This window comes from Homo sapiens, chromosome 8, assembly GCF_000001405.40.
Source record: "Homo sapiens chromosome 8, GRCh38.p14 Primary Assembly".
In the NCBI taxonomy this organism is placed as follows: domain Eukaryota; kingdom Metazoa; phylum Chordata; class Mammalia; order Primates; family Hominidae; genus Homo; species Homo sapiens.
Genome location: NC_000008.11, coordinates 93,873,743 through 93,894,030, shown reverse-complemented (window position 1 = coordinate 93,894,030; position 20,288 = coordinate 93,873,743). Strand labels below are relative to the sequence as shown.

At 42.8% G+C, this 20,288-nt stretch overlaps 4 annotated features.

Annotated features, from left to right (window-relative positions):
- Positions 9,155-9,324: an enhancer, noted in NCBI's record as "active region_27620". NCBI's record gives its function as "activates an Ori minimal core promoter by ATAC-STARR-seq in GM12878 lymphoblastoid cells {active_cell/tissue: GM12878}" and the evidence as "EXISTENCE:reporter gene assay evidence [ECO:0000049][PMID:35858748]".
- Positions 13,023-14,222: an enhancer, noted in NCBI's record as "P300/CBP strongly-dependent group 1 enhancer chr8:94892037-94893236 (GRCh37/hg19 assembly coordinates)". NCBI's record gives its function as "activates an origin of replication core promoter dependent on BRD2, BRD4, P300/CBP, MED14 and CDK7 cofactors, with strong dependence on P300/CBP, by STARR-seq in HCT116 cells {active_cell/tissue: HCT116}" and the evidence as "EXISTENCE:reporter gene assay evidence [ECO:0000049][PMID:35650434]".
- Positions 18,272-18,772: an enhancer, noted in NCBI's record as "H3K27ac hESC enhancer chr8:94887487-94887987 (GRCh37/hg19 assembly coordinates)". NCBI's record gives its function as "activates a minimal SCP1, AML or CMV promoter by ChIP-STARR-seq in primed H9 embryonic stem cells {active_cell/tissue: H9 hESC(primed)}" and the evidence as "EXISTENCE:reporter gene assay evidence [ECO:0000049][PMID:30033119]".
- Positions 18,773-19,273: an enhancer, noted in NCBI's record as "H3K27ac hESC enhancer chr8:94886986-94887486 (GRCh37/hg19 assembly coordinates)". NCBI's record gives its function as "activates a minimal SCP1, AML or CMV promoter by ChIP-STARR-seq in primed H9 embryonic stem cells {active_cell/tissue: H9 hESC(primed)}" and the evidence as "EXISTENCE:reporter gene assay evidence [ECO:0000049][PMID:30033119]".

Genomic DNA, 20,288 nt, shown 5'->3' with positions numbered 1-20,288 from the left:
TTTATCCCACCAACAATGTATGGACATTCCAGTGGCTCTATATCCTCATCCACATTAAGTATTGGCAGTTTGTCTTATTTTAGTCATTTTGGTAGATGAATAATGTAAAAATTAATGAACATTTAAAAATCAATTTTAAGAAAACCTTAGGAGGACAATGAAATAAGCCATTATGTTTTTTTTTGTTTTGTTTTTCTGGTTTGGATTTTTTTTCGTTTGTTTGTTTTTTGCAGAGACAGAGATCTTGCGATGTTGTCCAGGCTGGTCTGAAACTCGTGGTCTCTAGCATATGTGATTAAGAGGGAGAGTATCCCAAAGAGTAATCAAAGGAAAACCCATGAGGGTAGACTAATGCTTTACTGAGAAACCTGCTCCTTTACTTTTGCTGGGCACTCATGCTTGTTTTACCAACACTTTGTGAGGCTGAGGTGGGCAGATCACTTGAGTCCAGGAGTTCAAGACCAGCCTGACTATCATGGCAAAACCCTGTCTCTGCAAAAAATACAAAAATTAGCTGGGTGTGGTGGTGTGCACCTATAGTCCCAGCTACTTGGGAGGCTGAGGCAGGAGAATTGCTTGGGCCCAGGAGGTCGAGGCTGCAGTGAGCCAATATGACACCACTGCACTCCAGCCTGGGTGACAGCGAGACCCTGTTTAGTAAAAAAAAAAAAAAAAAAAAAAAGCTACTTTGTCTTAGATCACTGTGGTTGAGACATAAGAGAAACTGTAGGATCACAAGAACTTGGAGAGGAGAATGTTCCCATGTGCCCCTAGAGTCTAAATATTCAGAATCACTAGAGAAATCAAGCTACTTTAGCAATGGCATTGGTGAGTTGTTGTCAGAAAGTTCATGAGGGGATACGTGTGTGTGTGTGTGTGTGTGTGTGTGTGTGTGTGTGTCTGAAATGGGGGCAACAAAAAGCGAAAGAAGATGAAGTCTCGAATACAACAATGTATGATGTATAACATTTATTGATATGTGTTTATACATACTCTATCTTGTAGAGACAAGATTGGATGACTTAAATGGATGCATGTAATATAACTAGAAAGCATCACTTTAAGGGTGAAACAATTTTTCCATGAATTTTTTTTAAATGCAGCACTATATTAATAGCTTTGCACTTGTAGGTACATTTGGATGACACATCCTTCTACCTATATAAAAGAAGCGGGTGTCTGTGGTGTAAATTGGGTCCCTTCCGAGTCACCACCTGGTATGCAGCCATTGAGTTCTACAAGCTCACCTAGTTTGGGTTAAGAAATAGGCTTTCCTGGGGAAAGGGTAAATCTATAAGGTAAGTTACAGTGCTCTGCAAGACATGTAGTGTGAGTCCTTATTCTAACAGAGGAACGATATCCCCCCGATTCTACCTTTTCTATAAAGCAAGCTTGAGAAAGCTGCCTTGTCAGTGAAGGGATGCCTAGGCATCTTGGTTCAGGCAGTCTAGATTTGGGGGCTTGGCTGCTTACAGGAGTACCTTGGAAAGCCAGCTGCCTAGCATCTGGGGACCTTGGGGTCCAAAGGATGCTACAGTCCTGCAGTGGGGAGGACACCACCAGTCCTTTGGAATATTGCACTTGAGTGCAGCCCCTTCTGCTGGGAGAAGAAGTTCTTTCATCCCTTCTAGCTCATGGTACTGGTAATCAGAGTGAGCTGCCAGGGTTGTTTTCAGGTCATTATGCGAGACTTCTTTCTCGTATAATGAGCTGTTTTGCTCATCACACTACACTTAGTGAGAAGTCTGCAGCTAGGAAGCCTAAAACTTGCTATGTGGCCTTAGGAGAGTTACTTTACTTCTCTGACCTTAGTTAGAAGTTCTAGTACTTACCCTACTTTGTAGATTGTTATGGAATCAAATGGAAGTGACCGATAGCCAAACAACTAAAACAGGAGGCTGGCAGTGCAGTCAGCAACATTTTTCAGCACACTACTTTTGGAATTAAACAGTAAATCATAGCCAAAGAAACAAATGTTGATCATTTGCCCAAAATGCACCTTCCAAAATACATGTTAGTAGCCAATAAAAATTCAGCCCATTATTCCAAACCTCCTAATCCTACAGCCCATTATAATGAAAAATTGATGCTCACAGTTTAGTGAGCTGAGGTTATTTCAACATCTCCAGTTATCAGAAAGGCAGAATGTGGACCACCACACATGAAAGGAAGATTAGCCAAACATTTGAACCAAAAAAACAAAAAAAAAAAGGATGCTTTTGACAGATATTTTTGGTTGACCACCCACCAGCCAGCCCCCTTTGTTCTAGCTAATAGAACCCGAATTTTGCTTAATCTTCGGGTTTAGGACAAGGCCACTCTGAGCCTAAGGAATAATTCTTGGTTATTCTAAGCCAATCATGGCTTGTGATGTGATTCTGGCCAAAGAGACCTGAGAGGTCTATGGGGACTTCTGGGGGAAGTGTCTCCTTGTTCTAGATAGAGGATGACTGCGTAAATGCCTTGAGACTTGCTGTGTGATGAGGGGATACCTGGGCTTGTGTCACATTTTGGCAACTCAGGAAGCTGCCACTGCTGCTGAAGCCAACTTTCTGAGGATGTTACAGTAAAAAGATACAAAATCATTTGGATCTAGGTGATAACACTGAACTGCTGAAACTCTGACACCACCCAACTCTGGGCTCACTATTACATGGAACAATAGTCTTTATTTTTTTAAGTCAGTTGAGTCAGGGTTTCTCTTACTTGTAGCCAAATATATTTCTAAGTGATGCACTGGTTCAGGTTTGTTTACTTTTTAACCAGATAATGTGAGTAAAATACTTCATTCTAGTTAAATAAAGGTTTTATTGTAATAGATATGAAAGAATCTTTTTAAGAGCTAAAGAAGTACTCTAAGATTTAATTTACTATGATTATCTTTTTTGAAATCTGGGTCTTGATATATTGCCATTTTTTTGGAAATTATTTTTAAGCACTTCTTTTTGCAATATATTGCCAAATTAATTCAGTTTGGTGAGCAACAGAAAAATATTAAACACAGATTAAATTGGAGCATTTTGCTAGAATCCAACTAGGTTCTGCTGCAGTAGAAGTATATTCAATTATGCATGTTCAGAATTCTTGAGATATCCCCCCATGCCAATGGGTGTAGTGTAGCCTAAACTCATTGAGAGGAAACCCAAAGTGAAGGTCATCTGTGTTGTATTTCATTTATTTTTTCTAGTTTAGAGGTGGCCTCAAAAGCACATCTGGGAGGTATGCGTAAATGGTTCACCACAAGCTCTAAGACAGAGAAGATGCCGAACATGGTAGGAGAATATAACTGAGATAGTACATGAGAGCATGAGCAGCAGCAAGAGCCACGAGCTTTGAAATAGGTATGACTACCGCTGGGCCACAGCTTGAATGTTTTGGAAGAGGGGCCTATGGAAACAATGGAGTCCTCTGCTAGATTAAAGGGAAAGCCAAAGTCAGAAAGGGCCTGTGCCTCACTTACAGTTGGAAATGTGAGAGGAGCCCTCCTCACCAGGGAAGGCTGCAAAAGAGCAGAAAGGGCGACGTGGCATGGTCAGGCAGAGAAGGGACCTGTGCGTGGTGTGCAGATGGTCCAGAGATTGCCATATGTCCTGCTGGGACTACACAGAAGTCCCAATGGGCAAGAAGTTGGTTTGGGATGAGGAGAAGGCTCAGTACATAGGTAAATGATATTGGTGCACATTCAAAGGCTAGATGGGAACAGCTGTATCACCACTGACCCAGAGGATGTACATAGACCAGTGATCTCTCTTCTATGGATGGGTTAGGCTTTTCTAATACCTCACTAGCCAAGACAATGTCATTCCATTTGTGCATTGCTGCCCAAAACAAATTGAGAGGTTACTAAGAGAGGTGGAGGGGAGGGATATCGGAGGGCAACCCACCACCGTGACGTCAACACAAGCTTCCTATGCTTCCAGAGTAAAGAAGCAGGGGAGGAGGAAGGACCAGGGGAGGAGGAAGAATATTGAAAGACCCTTTTCCCCAAATATAGTTCTGCTTTAAATAGGACAGTGACTGAAACAATCACAGTTGAATGGTACTGGGAAAAAACAAAAACACTAGTTTAGAATGATAATAGCAGAATGAGATAGGCTTAGTAGTCTGCCTTAGACCTGCATTGTGCATTCGGGTGGTCACTAGCCACATGTGGCCATTGAGTACCTGAAATGTGTCTAGTGCAATTTAAATTTTGTTTAATTTTAATTAAAACAAAAATTTAAGCACTGATACTTGATTCCATTACTGGAAAACTTTGAAGCATGCTTGAGACCACTTAGGTTTGTGAGTCTACTTTTTTCATTGTAAATTTTATGAAATCTAAATACAATATTTCAGAAGAAAATGTAGCGTTCAGATTGAGATGTGCTGTAAGTATAAAATATACACGGAATTTCAAAGACTTAGCATGGGAAAAATGTAAATTACCTCATTAATAACTTTTTATATCAATTACATGCTAAAATGATACAGGTTGATTATTCTTTATTTTAAAGGGATACTTTAGAAACACTCCAGAAGTGTTTCAGGTTTTGAATTTTCTCTGATTTTGGAATATTTACATTACCAGCTGAGGATCCCTAATCTGAAAACACAAAATGCAAAATGCTCCATTGAGTATTTCCTTTGAGTGTCATGTTAGTATGTTGGTGCTCAGAAAGTTTCAGATTTTGGAGAATTTTGGATTTTGGATTTTCAGATTAGGGATAGTCAACCTGTAATATTTTAGATACATTGGTTTTAATAAAACCTAAGATATAATTCACATAATATAAAATTTCACACTATATAAAAATCACCCTTTAAAAATGTTAAATGCAGTGGTTTTTAGTATATTCACAAAGTTGTGAAACTATCACCACTGTGGAATTCCGGGACATTTCTGTTTTGTTTTGTTCCCTGCCCCCAAGATGGAGTCTGGCTCTGTCGCCCACGCTGGAGTGCAGTGTGTGATCTCGGCTCACTGCAACCTCCCACTCCCGGATTCAAGCGATTCTCTTGCCCCAGACTCCCAAGTAGCTGGGATTACAGGCGCATGCCACCACTCCCGGGAATTTTTGTATTTTTAGTAGAGACGGGGTTTCACCCTGTTGGCCAGGCTGGTCTCAAACTCCTGACCTCATGATCTGCCTGCCTCGGCCTCCCAAAGTGCTGAGATTACAGGCGTAAGCCACCATGTTCGGCCTCCAGGACATTTCTACCGCTCCAAAAAGAAACCCCATTGCAGGTTAGCAATTACTACCAGTTTGAGCCTCCCCTCAAACACTGGCAACCACTAGTCTACTTTCTGTCTCTATAGATTTTTCTATTTTGGATATTTCTTATAAATAGAATCATACAATATGTGGACTATTGTGTCTGGCTTATTTCAATGAACATAATGCTTTCAAGGTTTTCCCATATTGTAATATATATTAGTACTTCATTCTTTTTTATAGCTGAATAATACTTCCTTTTATGGATATACCATATTTTGTTTATCAGTTCATCAGTTAACATTTGGGTTGCTTCTGCTTTTTCACTACCATGAGTAATGCTGCTATGAATTAGTGTACAATTTTTTTTTTTTGAGACAGAGTCTCTTTCTGTTTCCAGGCTGGAGTGTAGTGGCGCAATCTCGGCTCACTGCAACCTCTGCCTCCCGGGCTCAAGCGATTCTCCTGCCTCAGCCTCTTGAGTAGCTGGGATTATAGGAACGCACCACTGCGCCCAGCTAATTTTTGTATTTTTAATAGAGATGGGGTTTCACCATGTTGCCCAGGCTGGTCTTGAACTCCTGACCTCAGGTGATCCACCCGCCTTGGCCTCCCAAAGTGCTGGGATTACAGGCGTGAGCCACCATGCCCGGCCAAGTGTACAAGTTTTTGTATGTACATATGTTTTCAGTTCTCTTGGGTGTAAACCTAGGACTGGAATTGCTGGAATATATGATAACTCTATGTTTAACTTTTTGAGGAGCTACCAAATCATTTTTCACAGCATTTTACATTCCCACCACCAATGTGTAAGGATTCCAATTTCTCTACATCCTCATCAACACTTGTGATTTTCTGTCTTTTTCTGTTTTTAAATTATAGCCATCCTAATGGGTATCAAGTGGTAGCTCATGTGGTTTTTGACTAGCATTTCCCTAACAACTCATGATGTGGAGCACCTTTTCACGCAAGTATTGGCCATTGGTCTATCTTCTTTAGAGAACTGTCTCAAATCCTTTGCCCATTTTAGAAATTGGGTTGTCTTTTTATTGTTTATTTGTAAGTGTTCCTTACATATTCTGGATACAAATACTTTTTCAGTTATATAATTTGTTAGTATTTTCTGTGGGTTGTCTTTTCACTTTCTTGCCAGTATTCTTTAGTATACAAACGTTTTAAATTTTGATGAAATCCAATTTATTTTTCCTTTTGTTTTTTATGCTTTTCGTGTCATCTCAAATAACCTGTTGCTTCATCCATGGTCATGAAAATTTACACCCATGTTTCCTCCTAAGTGTTTTATAGTATTGGCTCTTACATTTAGGTCTTTGAACTGTTACAAGCTAATATTTTTAAATACGGTATGAGGTAAGAGTGTAATATAAAAAATATTCCCCAAATTACTTTTACCTAATCTTTTAACTATTTTTTAATGTGGCTACTACAAAATTGAAAATTTACAATTCAATATAGCTTAATTACTTTTCTATTGGACAGATCTGAAATAGGCCAGTGACAATATTGGAATCATAGCTATAAAGTCTATAAAAATGTATTAACCACTTATCATGTGCCAGCTACCATTCTGAGCACTTGGGATTTGAGACAATGAGGCACAAATTCTCCTCTCAAGGACTTGCAAATGTTTTATGGGAAACAGACAAGTAAACAAATTCACCATAGTAAAGGATCAAGTTCTCAGCTTTTTTTTTTCTTTTTTTTTTTTTTTTTGAGACAGAGTCTCGCTCTGTTGCCAGGCTGGAGTGCAGTGGCATGATCTCGGCTCACTGCAGCCTCCACCTCCCGGGTTCAAGCAATTCTCCTGCCTCACCCTGCCGAGTAGCTGGGATTACAGGCATGCGCCACCAAGCCCGGCTAATTTTTTTTGTATTTTTAGTAGAGACAGGGTTTTGCCATGTTGGCCAGGCTGGTCTCGAACTTCTGACCTCAGGTGATCCTCCCACCTTGGCCCCCCAAAGTGTTGGGATTACAGGCATGAGCCACTACGCCTGGCCCAGAAACTCAATCTTATCAGTCTCATAGGAAAGCACACCCTTGAAGACCGACTCACACTTACCATCCTCATGAGAGACTGATGTTTTATATAACCACAATGCCACCATTTATCAGGTGGCAATGAGATCTGTAATAACAACATTCATCATTTATTGAGCGTCTACTACTTGCCGACACTCTTCCAGGTGTCTACATGCATTTTGTCATTTGATTCTTACAATGACCCTTTGAGAGGGTACTATTAACATCCTTATTTTACAGACAGGGAAATTGAGTTGCAGAGCTTTGAAATAACTTGTCCAAAGCCACACAGCTGGAAAGTTTCAAACTCAAGCATGTTGGCCCATGCTCTTCACTGACACACTCTACTGCCTTTTGCCAAATGTGCTGGACATTCATGTTGGCTGCTCAGAGGTTTCTGTTCCTCTGTAGGAGGATCTATATAAAAAGGAGACTTATAATCAATAGATGGCTTGGTGAGTATTAAGTCAGAGCAAGGAGAGTCAGTGATATAAATTAAAAGGCTAATGACATCAAGACCCACACTTGGGTCAAAATACACTCACTTCAGGGATGAGACTGCTGAATTTGGGGGTCATGGGGCACCTTCCCCTGGAGCTGCCAACTTCTGCATCTCTGTGCTTGTGTTTATTTTCTTTTTAATTGTTTCGGCAATGGCAGTTCCCCCTCCACGATACATTCCTTCTTTTGACAATGCAATACCTACAGTCATGTTTTTGCACTTCCTGTTTTGGGCCTAGGAAATATTTTGTGTTCAAGTTGACTGTGATTTACTGTACTCCTCCACTGGGTGCTGGCTTGATTAATCAACATAGCAGAGCTCTGACTAGACCCTCTTAATCTCCCCATTCCTTCTCGTATCTAACCTATGTCCTGAGAATTTTATACCACCACTACCATCTCTGTCATAGTAACTGAGACTGACCTGGATTAAAATGTTAGACTTAGTCTGGACACAGTGGCTCATGCCTGTAATCCCAGTGCTTTAGGAGGCTGAGGTCAGGAGTTTGAGACCAGCCTGGATTACATAGCAAGACCCCATCTCTACAAAAAATTTAAAAATTAGCTGGGCATGGTGGCATGTGCCTGTAGTCCCAGCTAATCAGTAGGCTGAGGTGGGAAGATTGCTTGAGCCCAGGATTTCAAGGCTGCAGTGAATCCCATCTCTTTAAAAAAAAAAAAAATTATGGACCTTCTTGGTTTTCCTGCCTGAAACTTTCCTCTCTCCTGTCCAGCCTCCACACGCATGCTGCCACCCAAAATAGCTTCAATCTTGACCTACCTTTTAGGTGGTTCTATTTTTACCTTCAAAATAAAGCCCAAGCTGCTTACCATGGCATTCTGGGCTTTTCATGTTCTGGCCCACCATGAATCCTACGTCCTTCAGCCCCTCTGCCTTTGTTCATGTTAGTCTCACCACCTAGAAATGCCTTTTCCTACCTTCTCTACCTATGTCCCTTCCTCCAAAATCTGACTCTAATAAGGCCACCTACTCTTATATGGACTTCTCCACTGCTACCCCATCCCCTACCCTGTATCAGAATTACTCTTTCTCTCCTCAAATGTGTCCCATAATCTAGCAGGAAATAATCTAGCTTGAGTTGTGATCAGTACAGTAGTGGTGGAAAAAACATGGGCTCTGGAGACCTGCCCCCAGGGGCGCCCCAGGACCCTGCCTGCCTACTTGGATACCTTTATCCCACTATTCCATAATTATCTGTTTACCTGCCTGTTTCTCCTTTTCTCTGTGCCCCATCTGCAGGGCACTGTCTGATCATCTGGTCTTCTCAGTCCCCGGCAAAGTTCACGGACCCTGACACACCCTGCAGCTGTCTCCTGAAGGAGTCAGAGTGGACCACTGAATCCCAGCTGCTCTTCTTTCAAACGATGTGACCTTGGGAAAGTTACATAACCTGTCTGTGGCTTTGTTTTCTTCCTTATAAATTGGGGTAATAACACCTACGTGTAAAGGTTATTCAGGTAATGTATGTTTAAAAGAAAAAAAATGTAAAAGGAGGAAGTGAAAATGAGGCAGAGTTTGTGTCCTGTGAAAGGTAAGGAACCAGTCACAACATACTGATAATATTAATAGCTAGAACTCTCTCTGTAGCTGCCCCTGCCGAGTGTTTTATACCATTATCTCATTCACTTCTCCCAACTCTTTGAGGAAGAGACTGTTGTACCCATCATATCATCATACAAATTGCTATACCCATCATACACATAAGAAAACTGAGACTCAGGAAGTGAAGTACTGGTCCGAGTGGCAGAGCTGGAATTCAAAGCAAGCCTTAGAGGCTAAGCACTGGCATTTCTGTACCCATCTTGGGGGAGAGCTGGTAGCTGGCTCCAGGGAAGCATCCAGCGGAAGACCTGGTCTTGGCTGTCCTCGTTTGACACCTACTCTTAGTAACCCAGAAGAGTGCAGGCACAGTGGGTATTGCAAAGGCCGGAGAAGGAAACCAACACAGACATCCGAAAAAGCTGGTGCAGAGCAGGAGAGAGGAAATGGGATTCAGTTTGGGGAAGTACAGACCAAGCTAGCCACACAGAGCTAATCCACAGCAAGGATAGAGAGGTCAGGAGAGAAAAAAAAAGAGGAGAGCTGGGAGCTGAAAGCAGCGAGGTGGGGTGGCTGGCTGTAACTGAGATGCTGCTCTGTAAAGTGATGAGGCCGGGGAGGCCACATCTGCTCTGGGCAGCACTCGCAGAGCTGTTGCAGCACAGAGAGGTCTTGCTCTCCTCTTCACGTGCACAGTGGGGAGGCCGCATTCGAGGCTCAGTGCGTGTGCGTGCGTGCGACACACACACATGCTTTGATACTGAGCCCCATGAAACCCCCATGAGTCTTTTTTTTTTTAACTTTCCTCCTTTCTAAGTTTGACCTATATATTTCCAGATGCCTCTAAGGGAAATTATGGGGCTATTGCATTTATCGAATATGGAGTATAGATCAGAGTGGATGTGGAGGCAGCAAGGAAGGAACTGAAAAAAGCAGCACTCAGCCATGCTGATGAGCTAGTCCCAAGTTCCAGATCTCTCTTTAGCCTGAAGCTCCGTTCCTTCCTGTCCATCTAGAAGGCAATGTTGCCTAAAGGCAAGAGCCTGGATTTATGTACGGCTCCTGCTTTTACTGCCTATGTGAACTTAATTATTCTACCTTATCTGGTTCAATGTCCTCAACTTTGAAGTGAGAACAGTAGTAATACCTACCTCCTAGGGCTTCTGAGAAGATGAAAGACCAAAGTGCCGCTCCTATGCAAAACCTATCCTTGGGAAGTGGAGATCATTATTGCCTTTAAATCTGTCCAAGGGTTTAATAGGAGTGCATTCACAATTTGTCTGTAGGCCTTTTATTCAGATGCCTTTAGATTTTGCTAAATCAGACATTGTACAGATTGACAGATTGAAATCCATAGTGAAAAAAAAAGCTAGTTTGAGGGCTTTCTTCTGGAGCTGAAATAAAGCAATCCTAACCTTTGGGAAGCTGGTTAAATGGGTTCAGAGTAGAGCATTTCTATGTACCTCTGGGGCATTTCAGGCCTGGCAGCATCAGGAGGGTTCTCACATGTGGCATGGGCAGCAAAGCTATGTGGGGATTCTGTCTTTCCCAAACCTCACTGCCTTCCATGTCTCCTAAGACTTGGTAGGATATTCAAATACGACACACCTGTCTCTCCCAGCACACAGATTATAGCTGTAGGTCTTCCCATGACAAGGTGTGGGGGAAATCAAGTGAGGGATTCTGGGAGTTTTATCTTTCCCTTGATTTGGGGGGCATAATGCCTGCTGGGAATAGAAGGACGGATTTGGACACTTCAGCTGGCTGATTCCTGGGAGGGGAAAAGGACATCTCTGGCCTTCTAGCCAGAAGGGGCCTCTGGATCACCCAGTCCAGCTTCTAGAAGGCTCGAGGACTAGCATTGTGTGTTTGTGGTCCCTTGTCAGAGTAAGTGATAGGAGAGCCTACTCAACACCCCAAGACTCCTCAGCGAGTGCACTCCCACTTCATCATCCTGAGTGAACACGATGCCTCCAGGAATGTGGGAGACAGAAGCCACAGCGGATTCTTTTTTCAAACCCAAGCAAGGAAAATCAGAGAGAAGCAAGTCAAATGCCATTATCTTCTCTCTGCAGAACTGACTAAGCAAAATTATGAATAGGCCAAGAATGACTTTTCTACTGATTGATGAACTTGAATCTGTTCTTCTAGGATTTGATTATTCAATTAATAAAATATTTACATGCTCTGTTTTTTTCTTTACAATAAACAGATATGTTTCTCCTTAAAATGTCTTAAATAACTGTACTTTTGAATTGAATGTTGCCCTTCGTAGGTGATTTTTTAATGCATATTTGGATGACTATAACTTAACAGCCCTTTTAAAAGTGTTTATTGATAAGGATTATATGGAGCCTCTTGATAGAGAATGAGGGTGACATCTCCCCTCTCCTTAGCCTTTCTGCTTATTTGGCCAAACTACTGCCCTCACAGACCCTTCTTTGAAATTTTTTCTTTGCTTAATGTTATCTGATGGAGATGCTGAGACATTTTGCCAGTTTCCAGGGAAACCAGTGGAGAAGGCGAGTTCCTGCTATTCAGACACGGTGTTAGGAGGTGTGTAGGTGCCCCACATAGCCAGTAAGCCCAGCATCTCTGGCTTAGCACATGCCCTTATGAGCTGTGCAACCCCAGGCAAGTCACCAACCTCTCTGAAGATCCACTTCCTTATTGAAGCAATGGGGATATTCATAGCTGCCCTCCCTACCTTACACAGTTGTTGTGGGGATGGAATGGCATAATGTATGACAAAGGGATTTGTAGAGGCAACAAACTATACAGATGCAAGGGGTAATTATTATGCTGTTATGGTTGCCTGCTCTTAACTGGAGCCAGTCTGGGGAATTCTATCTCCCCAGGTGAAAATGTCTTTGTTGTCAAATTAAAATGGTTAAATTCCATCAAGGTCTATGGGACAAAGCCATCAATCTTTGCTCTCACAATGGAACAGTATCTCCTGGAGACAAGTCCGAACTTTATCTGTGTACCCACTAGTACCAAAAGACACTTCTAGACATTATGTCCTTGGACTTAGAATTCATTTCCCAAAAAAGTCCTTCCTTCCGCAGTGCAGAGCTATTCTGCACCCACACAAAGCTGGCCAGTGTGCAGCTCAAGCTCTCCTCCCAGAACGCCAGACACAAAACTTGCTTGTGGTTGAAGAATATTATTTCAGGAAAGACGCAGGGACTTGAAGGGGTGCAGCAGAGAGGACTTCGCCATACTGACCACCAGTTATTCGTAGAATCATAAATACTAAAGTTAGGAAGTTATCTGGGCCAAACTCCTTCTTTGAAGATGAGAAAAATTATGGCTTAAAATAGACTCAGTAAGCAAAACAGGTTAGGCAACGGGTTAAATAATTACTTAGAGAAAACAGAGCCTTTTGATGTCTAGGCCAATGTTTTTCCCATTGCATTATTAATAATACTAACTATGTCAACATTCACAACAGCTACTGTTTATTGAACAAAGAGTATGTGTCAGACATTGTACTAAGCTATTCACATATATTCACTTATTTAATTCCCACAACAAACCAGCCAGGCAGATATTATTCAAATTTTACAAATGAGGAAAATAAAACTCAGCAATAATCATTGCTTCCCAATATCAGGGCACTGATCTTTACAATCAGCCAGATCTTTATAATCAGTATAGAAAGCAAGAAGGGGAGTGTGTGTTGTGGTTACTGCTATTGTTTGCATATGACATTATATCTACTTTTTTTTTTTGAGACAGAGTTTCGTTCTTGTCATCCAGGCTGGAGTGCATTGGCAGCGATCTCGGCTCACTGCAATCCCACCTCCCGGGTTCAAGCGATTCTCCTGCCTCAGCCTCCTGAGTAGCTGGAACTACAGGCGTCCACCACCACACCCAGCTAATTTTTGTATTTTTAGTAGAGATGGGGTTTCACCACGTTGGCCAGGCTGGTCTCGAAGTCGTGACCTCAGGTCATCTGCATGCCTCAGCCTCCAAAAGTGCTGGGATTACAGGCGTGAGCCACCACGCCCAGCCTATGTCTACTTTTAGAAAACATTTAGAGATGAGAAATCATTCCTTATTCCAAATACCAAACAGTCCTAGAAAATATACTCTGAGTTGAATTGTCACACGATTTCATCCTAAAGTGCAGCCCAACTTTATACTGACAGGGGTTAACTGGAAATGAAGATGTGAGGCTTTCATGCCCTTCCGCATGCCAAACTTTCATAATTCAGACATGAGATGAGTCATAAAAGAAATATGCAGGCTTTTGGCCACAATAGAAACACTCATTTCCCCAATTGCTCAGCAGCAAAACATCAAGACCAACTATTTTTATGTGCTAGGAATGTTAAAAGCTTTTTCCGGTCTTAGGGTTGCTTTTAACATAATTAAACCAACCTTTGCTGCTCCTGCTGTGGCTTCATTCTAAAGATCCTACACTCAGGCTTTTTCTCCTCTTGCTTAATGGGTTGTGATGGGAAATTCACTAGGCCTAGGATCGTCAGCTGCCAAAATAAATCTGCCTGCTCTTTAATCTTGACATCATATTCTGCCAACTTCCGTTAAAAAGCATAACATCTCTATAGTCTTTCCACACTCTGGTACAAGCTATAGTGCTTGAATTTTTAACACCCTGAATATGTATTTAATTATAATTCCAAAGATCCAAGAACATTGTTCAGAAATTCTATCATCCCTAAAATGTTAATTTTACATTAAATGATGCTATGAACAAATGTTCTGGAAGCACCAGAATAATTTCCTGAAATTTCTCCAATACAAAATAAAAGACAGAGGACAGCAGTCTCTGAAATTAGCCAAGGCTCTTCAAGCCCAAATAGAAATGAAACCATCCCTATGGGGTTGATAAAAATTGCATGCCTGATTCTGGATAGAAATATTGTTATGGTTAAGCATTAGTAGGCTGCTGTCCACCCCACTTCCTTGTTGCTAAAAGTCAGGTAGCAATAGATATTGACCATTTGCATTCCCATTCTTCCTGTAGGTAGGATTCCTGACATCAGGGTCATAAGACTGCTTAAGATTTGGTTTGCATCCCCATTGCTCCTCTCTTTTGATACAGGACTTGCTCCAGCTTTCATTTCCCATCCTCTGCCTGCTTCGAGCTATAAGCAAGCCTTTGTTTAAGGATCTTAAGATAGTTTTCAGACCCCCAAATTCTAGCAATAGTTTGAAGAGCCCCACAGAGGAATGGAATCAGCATGAGAATCCAGCTTCTTTCTCTCCCTTTCACATGACTCCACCCTGCACTCTTCAACCAGTCAATCACCTCCACACTTTGGCCCACTTCAAAACCCTTCAAAACTCTATCCCCAGACACCTCTGGGAGACAGGTTTAAGGCTCCCTCCCATCTCCTCATTTGGTGGCCCTCTTTCTCTGCTGGTGTCTCTGCATATTGACTTGCTGTTTGCATCGGGCGATGAACCTATTACAGTTACAGAAACTGAATGAAACTTCGCAAGACTAAAAGAAAAAAAACTTTTGTAAACAATTCCATAGTTGATTATTGCCTATTATTGGAATGCAATGTCTACCATTGCTGGGGAAGAGAATCATAATGTTCATTTAAGAGGACATTTAAAGAGGAGCATGAGCTGTGACCAGTGGGGTCTAACCACCACTCCTGCTTTCTTTGTCTCTTCCATCCTTCTGTCCATGTTTCTGTGTATGTGTTTATGCTCAGCATTTCAGCACTTAGGACTTGAGTCCCTACTATATGGTAGGCCCTTAGGATCCAAAATGGAAACAGCAAGACTCATTTTAGGCCATTCTTCTATTCTAGAAAAACCTTCCCTGAAATCACTTCCCTGCCTGGTCTAGGTTAAGAACCATGCCCATGTGTTCCAAAGCATCCCCTGCACTCACCTATTTGACTCTTATCCCCCTGTACGTGCTGGTAACAGTGACTGCTCATCATCATTGACCATTCACTATCTGCCAGGGTCTGTGCTAAATGCATTAGAGGCCTCTCCTATAATCCTTGTAATGACCATTGGTGGTAGGTACTGTCAGGCCTCTAAGCCCAAGCCTGCACGTATACATCCAGATGGCCCAAAGCAACTGAAGAATCACAAAAGAAGTGAAAATGGCCAGTTCCTGCCTTAACTGATGACATTACCTTGTGCAATTCCTTCTCCTGGCTCAGAAGCTCCCCCTCTGAGCACTTTATGACCCCCGTCCCTGCCCCCAAGAGAACAACCCCCTTTGACTCTAATTTTCCACTACCTACCCAAATCCTATGAAACTGCCCCACCCCTAACTCCCTTTGCTGACTCTCTTTTTGGACTCAGCCCCCCTGCACCAGGTGATTAAAAAGCTTTATTGCTCACACAAAGCCTGTTTGATGGTCTCTTCACATGGATGCAAGTGAGAGGTACTGTGAGGAACTCCATTGTGCTGATGAGAAAACTATAGCAGGAAGAGGTAATTTGCCCTAGGGCATAATTAGTAAGTAGTTGAGCGAAGATTCAAAGCCAAGTGGTTGGACTTTTAAGTCTGTGCTCCTAACCACTGTCATATACAACTTGAATTTCTTTCCCCAAGACTGTGTGCATTATAAGAATAGGAAGCACCTTATCTTTGTATCCATAGAACCTAGCAGAATGCCCGGTGTGTGTATGTGTATATATGTACATATATATATATATATATATATATATAAAGTTTGCTGAATGAATGTAAATAAATGAATGAGTGGTAGAGGCAAGGAGTGAATGGGAGGTGAGAAAGTAGGCACAGCCATCCCAGAAGAACCTCATGAATTTTGGCTAAGTAGAGAGGAAGAGAGAAAAGGAACCATGTTTTCCATGATCAGCCTTCTGCAAACTCCCCACTGGGGACAGGAGCAGCCTGAGGAGGGACAACAGGAGGGCACAGTGAGCCCACATGCTTGTGAGCCCAAGTAGGAGAAACTGGGGCTTCAGTAACTTAAGAGATTTGGGCATATGATTTTTCAGGTCCTCTGGGCCCTAATATTGCATGGTCTAAAGACTCCCTATGTTCCCTTCTTCTGTCACAGGCACTTGTTTGTTCATTGTCCCCATTATATTCCTGCCCTGCCCTTGCCCAGGGTCATGGGAGAATGTACAAAGCCACTGTGGCTATATTTCCTCTCTTGTGATACAGGATTTGCTCCAGGTTTCATTTCCCAACCTCTGCCTGCTTCAAACCTTCTCTTGTCCGGAACTTCCTAGCCTCCACTCTATTGACAGCACTCCCAGATTCTTCTTCCTTTTTGGCTTTCATTTAGCTTCTTCTCGGTGCAGTATTTTTGAATCAACCTCTTTAGCACCAGGCTCAACAGCCAAGGGCAACTAAAGGCCTAGTCTTGGGAACAACCCAGTGGCCAGACCTAGGTCAAACCTAGTGCCCATGCTTTGGGGGAGGTAGAAGGCTTTTTCAATAATATCTAAGTTTTGTTTCTGCAGCAGCCAGTGTCAATGCCTTCAGTTCTCCCCCTTGCCACCCACCCCCACCACTGCCTATCCTTTGTACCCTAAACTTTCAGTATCTGCATCTTCTGTGCCTGAGAATTTTTGGCCCCTTTTTTGCTCAGAAGTGCCACAGCCCCCAGAGCAGCTCTTAACAAAAGCTGATGGGGAGGTGGTGTATAAATACCCCAGCTCCCCGACCCCTCAGGTGGTATGATTCTGAGGAATGTCCTTCACACCAGGGTTCTCCATGGGTTAAGGTCTAATCACTCCCTAGGGTGACTGGTCTCATAATTCACACATTGTCGGCTGCCTTCCCTTCTCTGTCACTTTCCCACTTTCCTGCCAGCAGCCCTTGCATCTCCCCAATAAACCATCTGTACTCAAGTCTCTACCTCAGAGTCTGCTTCTACAGGATCCCAAACTAAGACAGTTTCAAAGTTTTTTCTTTGGTGGAGACTTGGAAACAGGGCCAGGACTAGGTGCTCACTCTCTGGGTGGTGCAAATGCCAACCGTGCATTCACATGGCCCTGAGACTAAGTGCCTCCTTAAATATGAAGCCTCAGCAATTCACTCACCCTTACCCTAGTGCCAGAGGTATCCAATTTTTTGGCTTCCCTCATCCAGATTGGAAGAAGAAGAATTGTCTTAGGCCACACATAGAATATACTAACACTAACAATAGCTGATGAACTTTTTTAAAAATTGCAGAAAAATCTCATAATGTTTTAAGAAAGTTTGTGAATTTGTGTTGGGCCACAGGTTGGCCAAGCCTGCCCTAGTCCTATCAGATAACTAACTCTTATTATCTACAATAGTCTCACCAGCCTGGAGTTGTTTGATCATTTTATATCCATGTGTTTGTTGTTTATACAGGTATCTTCCCTTTCTAGTGGTAATCTCTGAGAGGGCTTATGCTAATTTGGATTGTTTTTACATTATGCAGAATAGTATAGTTATGGATCAAATTGTGTCCCCCTCAATGCCCCAAATTCATATATTGAAGCCCTAACCTCCAATGTGACTGTATTTGGAGACAGGACCTTCAAAGGGGTAATTACAGTTAAGTGAAGGCATAAGGGTGGGGCCCAGATCTGATGGGACTGTTGTCTTTATAAAAGGAAGGGCCCTCCCCACCCCCAACACCTGCACAAAGAAGTCATGTCAGTATACAGCAAGGTGGTGACTGTCCACCAGGCAAGAGAAGAGGCCTCAGTTTGAAACCTGCCTTGCCAGCACCACCTTGATCTTGTACTTCCCAGCCTCTGGAACTGTAAGAAATAAGGTTTTTGTTTTTGTTTTTTGTTTTTTTGGGATGGAGTTTCACTCTTGTTGCCGAGGCTGGAGTGCAATGGTGTGATCTTGGCTCACTGCAATACCAGCCTGTGGCCTGTTATGAACCCAGGCCACACAGCAGGAGGTGAGCAGTGGGCCAGGGAGCATTACCACCTGAGCTCCGCCTCCTGTCAGATGAGCAGCATTAGATTCTCATGAGAATCGAATGAGAAGCCAGCTGAAACTGCCGAAACCAAGATGATGACAGTTAGATTCTCATGAGAATCTAATGCTGCTGCTCATCTGACGGGAGGCGGAGCTCAGGTGGTAATGCTATTGTGAAATGCGCATGAGAAAGATCTAGATTGCACACTCCTTATGAGAATCTAATGTGTGATGATCTGAGGTGAAGCAGTTTCATTCCAAAACCATCACCCACCACCATCCCACCTCTACCCCGCTACTACCCTCCTTAGAAAAATTGTCTTCCACGAAACTGGTGCCAAAAAGGTTGGAGACCGCTGGTTTGAGCCATCCAGTCTCTGGTATGTTGTTGTGGAAGCCCTAGCAAACTGAAATAGATATGGAAACCACCTTCGCAGAAATTATAACAGTGAGAAAATTATGGCAGTGAAAGAGATGGGATTTAACCAACCCTCACCTTTCCTTTAGCTGCCCTTAATTATCCCTGGGCTTGGGCCAAGCTAACTTTGTGCAGTTTAGCCCTTCCCCAAAACTCAACTGCCTTTGTAAACCTAATGAGAGACCACCAGGCTAGGAGGATAGAGGAGCCTGAATTCGGCTAAGCTGTAGACCTAAAGGATTGCCAGCCACTACTCCAGAGGTGACAAGATACGCAACTTCCTCTGTTGGGAACAGGCTCCCCAAAATCTGGCCATAAACAAAATCTCTGCAGCACTGTAACATGTTCATAATGGCCCTAACGCCCATGCTGGAAGGCTGTGGGTTTACCGGAATGAGGGCAAGGAACACCTGCCCGCCCAGGGCAGAAAACCACTTAAGCCACAAACAATAGCATGAGAAATCTGTGCCTTAAGGACATGCTTCTGCTGCAGTTAACTAGCCCAACCTATTCCTTTAATTCAGCCCATCCCTTCGTTTCCCATAAGGGATACTTTTAGTTAATTTAATAGCTATAGAAACAATGCTAATGACTGGTTTGCTGTTAATAAATATGTGGGTAAATCTCTGTTTGGGGCTTTCAGCTCTGAAGGCTGTGAGACCCCTGATTTCCCACTTCACACCTCTGTATTTCTGTGTGTGTGTCTTTAATTCCTCTAGCACCACTGGGTTAGGATCTCCCTGACAGAGCTGGTCTCGGCATTCCTCAATTACTCCTGCAGATGACATCACTCTTGTAAATCCTAAGATTGGTTTTTTGAGCTATCTTTTCAGGCTTTTTGTATATCTGATGACTGATGGCTCCACTTGGACCTGCCACCTGCTCCTGTGGCCCCACCCTGAAGTGGCTCAATGAGCAGGAGGACCATTTCCCACACCTGTATAATTGCACCCCCCAACCAATCAGCAGCAAGCACCCATTGCCTAGCTACCTCGACCCCTTCTCCTAAACTACCTTCAAAAACCTCTAGCCCCCAAATTCTTGGAGAGACTGATTTGAGTAGTAATAAAACTCTAGCTTGCCGTTTAGATGCTCTACATGTGTAAAACTCGTTCTCTGTTGCAGTTCCCCTGCCTTGATAAATCAGCTCTATCTGGGCAGTGGGCAAGAAAAACCCACTGGGTAGTTATGCCAGAGGCATCTGAACTAGAGTGACTCCATCTTGAATAGGGGGTGGATAAAATGAGGCTGAGACCTGCTGGGCTGCATTCCTAAGAGGTTAGGCATTCTTAGTCACAGGATGAGATAGGAGGTCACAAGATACACCTCACAAAGACCTTGCTGATAAAACAGAATGCAATAAAGAGGCCAGCTGAAACCGCCAAAACCAAGATGATGACGAAAGTGACCTCTGGCTGTCCTCACTGCTCATATACGCTAATTGTAATGTATTAACATGCTAAAAGACACTCTCACCAGTGCCATGATGGTTTACAAATGCCATGGCAATGTCCAGAAATTACCCTATATGATCTAAAAGGGGGAGGAACCCTCAGTTCTGGGAAATCCCTGCTCCTTTCCCAGAAAACCCATGAATAATCCACCCCTTGTTTAGCATATGATCAAGAAATAACCATAAAAAATATACAGCTAGCAGCCCTCAGGGCTGCTCTGTCTATGGAGTAGCCATTCTTT